Here is a 4236-nt window from a genome sequence, read left to right as displayed (position 1 = left end):
CTTTGTCTCTGTGTCTTATTTCTATTCTCCATCTCTCATCCCACCCGACTAGAAACACCCACAGGTGTGGAGGGGCAGGCCACCCCTTCACTTGGAAAATCAGTTACACACAAACACGGAATGAGAGTCAAAAGACAATATGTCATCTTTTTGAGAATTTTATTCACTTCAAAACCAATTAAACACACATATGTACAAAGGCATTCCAGAGCCCAGTTTTCGAGGCTGAGGAAAGACCCCGAGAGCGCTTCACACAGCACGCTTCCCAGCGTCCGAAACTCTGCTCTCAGGGCGGGGCACAGCGGAAGGGCTGCACCTCTCAGGGTTCCCTAACTTTTCCCTTATTCAGTCATCTAGAGAGCAAATACACAGTAATTCCCCAGTTTCCTATTGACGTCCCAGCGGAAGTCTGACTCCTGCGCGTCACGCAGTTTCTGAGGCAACGAATCTCTGGCACGGAAGCTTTTCCTGGCGCGTTTCGGGAGAACCACGCCAACTACAACGTCCCTCACCAGAATTCAATGAGGCAGAGTCCCTGCATCTGCTCCCTGCCTGGCCTGGGCTCCCACATCCACAGAAGCGCCACAGCCGGGGAGCTTCGGAGTCACCGCACAGAGTCTGCTCTCTGCTCTGCGCTCCTCAGTCCCACAGTCCCCTCCAAGTCACGGGAGCTGGAGGCCAAGGAGCCCCTGCCACCTGCAGTCTCACTCCAGGTCAGAATCGCTGTCCTCTGAGGAGGAGGAAACCTGAAGGTCCTCATAGAGGACGCTCGGTGGGACACGAACACAGGGAGCCTCAGACTTCTCTGACACATGAGGGCTCTGAGCGAGGAAGGCTCCCGGCTTCTCAGGAGAGTGAAATGAGGGGGCCGCCAGGAGGCTGGAGCTCCAGCGTCCGTTTTCCAGTCTCCGGAAGAGCACTCTGAGAGGCTGGGCCCCATCATGGCTGGCCGCTGAGTGATGGGACATGGTGCAGGCCTGGGCAGTAGGCAGGCAAGGTCTGCTGTGCGGAGGCTGCCGTTCGACGCTGGGCACCTGGGCCGGTGTCCTCCTGCCCATCTGGGGCGACGTACTTGGTCCAAGTTCGGTTGCGGCTGGCGGAGGTTGGAGATTCTCCGGGGCCCCCAGCTCACCTCCCTGGATGGCGCTTTCGGGGATCTGGAAGGGACCCAGTCTCGGTTTCTTGGGGAAGTTCAGGCAAGCCTGAATCGGAGCCTGGGCAGGTCTCTTGGCTCCTGGCCCGAAGCTGAGATTGGAGCCGAGGCCCAAGCTGTGTGTGGCGGCTGGCGGGCAGGGCTGTGAGGTCACCGCAGGACGTTTGTCTTGTGCCTGGGGTCTGGCGGCCTGGAGCAGGCCGTGGGTTTTGGAGGCAGCCTGGGGAACTTCTCGGCAGCCACCCTCAGGGCTGCTGTGTGTCGGCTTCACCACGAGGAGAGGCTCGCGGCCCTGGTGCCTGACTGCAGGCTGAGGGATGTCGGCCGCAGCCCCTGTCTGTCTTTCCTTTGGTCCAAGACTTGAGGAGGAGCTCAGGCTGGCTTTTCTGAGGGGAGACAGTGAAGCCAAGACGGAGCCCCTGTCAGACATTTCGGTAGCTGAGCCATCAGCGAGGACAGGGTCCACGCGCGGCCTCTTACTGGTTGTGTGGACCGGCATTGGCCCGCTTGCAACCTGAAAGAGAGGAAACAACACAGGTTAGAAGTTCCTCAGCATGGAGCCAACGTGAAAATCAAGCACATCCAAAGACAAGGTGCACACGCCATGAAATTCTTAGTACAGTATCGACAGGCGGTCCTTGGAAGTAGGGACAGACCCTCCACCTGAGTGCTGATCAGGACAAGACACATGAAAGATGCGCTCTCGAGCTATGTGTAGCTGATCTAAGCACACCATTGTTCAAAAGATCGCGTCTTGGGCATTAACTGGATCAAAGCGCCTCCACTCAGCCTTCCATGAAGTGGAACGGACTAATGCCCTTCCCAAGGCAGGTTGCTGGCTCAAGGGTACTCGGGACGTCTTCTCTGAACACATGCATGTTCCTGGGTTTCGCCTTCTCCACGTTTGGGGCCTCTGAGGGACTAATTTCCTCATGCCGCTAGGAACGTGTTGTTGGCAGGCTTGCCATAATTGGACAGAAAGAAAGCAACAGGAAATACGGCATGTTCAGATGCCTTCGCCTGGAATCCAATTGACCTGGAAGGATCGTGGAGTCCCTGACCCCAAGAAGGCAAGAAAGAGGGGTTCCCCGATTTCCTCCCGCAGACGGGAAGCTGAAAGGAAATCAACCAGGGTGACCTAGAGGAGAAAAAGACCAGGGGCCCGGGGTGACACTCGCCCTCAGATAATCAGAAGGTTCCGTGGATCCTTTTCCATTCGGCAGCGGCTTCTCTGGAGGTTTCCCGGAAAACATGTGGAGGAGAGCCTTCCTCTGCGGGTCTTGTTGCCTGCAGAACAGAAAAAGGTCAGGCCGTGCCCCCTGGTTTTCCCCAGGAGACAGGGAGAACCCCGTCTGGGGCCCAGCCCCATTCCGTGTCTTGTGATACAGAAATGGACATCTGGTGCCCTTTCCGCCTCTGCACCTTCCCTCACGTGCCAACCTTCCCATCCTCCAGGTGGCCCTCTAGGCTTCCCAACTAAGGACTGTGATTTGGATTCCATCGCTTTTCCCGCTGTCGCGGGGAACCTGCACGAAGCGCCCCCGCCTCTCCCCGTCCCTGAATCTCCCAGAGCCCAAGGAGCTCCTGGGTGTGGAACCCCGGAGGACACGGAGCTCCGGCCTATTTCTCTGCAGCGTTCCTTCCCTGGCCCGGAGACGGAAAGGCACACGGTGTGCAGGTGCAGAGACACCATGTCCTTAGGAGGCAGTACCCCAAGAGTGGTGAAAACCCCTCCCACTGCTCACCTTGGTCTCTCTTCCTTCTCTCCCTTATCCTTGTTCAAGGGCCCCGGGTTGGCTTCAACCCGGGGCTTCCATGGTTTCAGGTTTTCCTTCCCTTCCTTTTTCCCCAAGGTCGCTGGAACCAGGGCTGCCTTCCAGCACTTCATGGGGCACCTGGTACTTCTGGCCGTGTGGCCAAAGGCCCCGCAGTTTTTGCACTTGAGCTGTGGGTGGAAAGGAAGTGATGTCAGTGAGTGAGCTGAAGCCACAGGCAGCGATCCCACGTCAACATTGGGACGGATTGTGAATTCAGAGCTGAATAAGGATTCCAAAGAGGGGACACCGGCATGGGGGCCGTTAAGTGCTGGGAGAGTTCGGATACGATGTTCCCTCGCAAAGCCCGTGTGACGGAGGAACTCTGAAAGGAAGGACTCAAGGTTCCAAGGGGCACGATGGTGAAGCCGATGTCAACAACGCAGCCAAACGTGGCTACACAGGACTCTAAGTAGAAAGGGAGGTTGCCCCCAAGAGTCTCTCAAGGGACCTATCGGGCCGGGGAGAAGGTCCCAAGCCACGCCCACCTTGGATGGGAAAAGCAACCTGGCTGGTGGTGACAGAACTCTTTGGAATCCAACCCAGTCTCTGAGGACCGTGGGACACCCCCTCCCCCCGTCCCCACCCCCACCCCGATACCCAAGAGATCCAGGGCTAGACTTACCCTGGGATCTTCTTCATCGGGCGGGGGAGCCCTTGGCCCAACTGGGGCCCTCCGCTGCTTCTGGAGGGTCTGGGCTCTCACCAGTCTCTTGGCCCAAGATGTGGGGTCCCGACGTGCCATCATCTTCGTCTCCTGGGGGTTTTATGACCGCCTTTTTCAGGGGTGGACTGTTGGGCCACCTGAAACACACACAAACACACACATGTCGATGGTTAAGCACGTTGGATATTCACACACCCACAGGAAGCCACCTGCTAACTCCCTGCCTGTGTGGTCATGAGGAGACCTCACCACCAGTCGGTCAAATCTGTAGAACACAATGTGCTGCGCGCATCCTCGGATATTGTGTGTTCCTCTGCCATGACTACCTAGTCCAAGAGTAAACCCCACCTGCCACAGGGCCCGTGGCCTAGGTATGGGGGGTTGAGCTTTCAACCCCAAACAAACAACTGATTCTGGAGACTGGACTTAGGTCTCTCACGATTCACTCCGGTAGAAGACACGGTGATTCTATCTCCCTTGACGGACAGAATGATCGAAGACACAGGGCATGGCGTGTGCCACCCTTTGGCAGGTCTGCTTGAAGTCAGGGATAAGGGATGCTTCCTGTGACAACTTGAATCGCTACTCTTGCCATTTCATTA

At 57.1% G+C, this 4236-nt stretch overlaps 1 protein-coding gene across 1 annotated transcript; it reads right to left on the bottom strand.

Moving 5' to 3' along the window:
- Positions 1-704: 704 nt before the first annotated feature.
- FAM90A3 (family with sequence similarity 90 member A3) lies at positions 705-3715 on the bottom strand. Its single transcript, NM_001423528.1, has 4 exons — positions 3593-3715; positions 2899-3098; positions 2332-2440; positions 705-1667 (listed from the first exon to the last, which is right to left on the bottom strand). Exons 1-4 carry the CDS (start codon positions 3713-3715, stop codon positions 705-707), a joined length of 1395 nt encoding a protein of 464 aa, NP_001410457.1.
- Positions 3716-4236: the final 521 nt, after the last annotated feature.

Source organism: Homo sapiens, chromosome 8 (assembly GCF_000001405.40).
Source record: "Homo sapiens chromosome 8, GRCh38.p14 Primary Assembly".
Taxonomy (NCBI): Eukaryota; Metazoa; Chordata; class Mammalia; order Primates; family Hominidae; genus Homo; species Homo sapiens.
This window is presented reverse-complemented; position numbering and strand designations above follow the sequence as displayed.

What these genes read in the sequence shown, in the direction of transcription:
- FAM90A3 (NM_001423528.1), bottom strand. Translation starts at nt 3,715, where the DNA reads ATGATGGCACGTCGGGACCCCACATCTTGGGCCAAGAGACTGGTGAGA. An exon ending in CCGATGAAGAAGATCCCAGG is followed by an intron (nt 3,099 to 3,592) that starts GTAAGTCTAGCC and finishes TTCCACCCACAG; the next exon opens with CTCAAGTGCAAAAACTGCGG. An exon ending in AACCTTCTGATTATCTGAGG is followed by an intron (nt 1,668 to 2,331) that starts GCGAGTGTCACC and finishes CCTCTCTTTCAG; the next exon opens with GTTGCAAGCGGGCCAATGCC.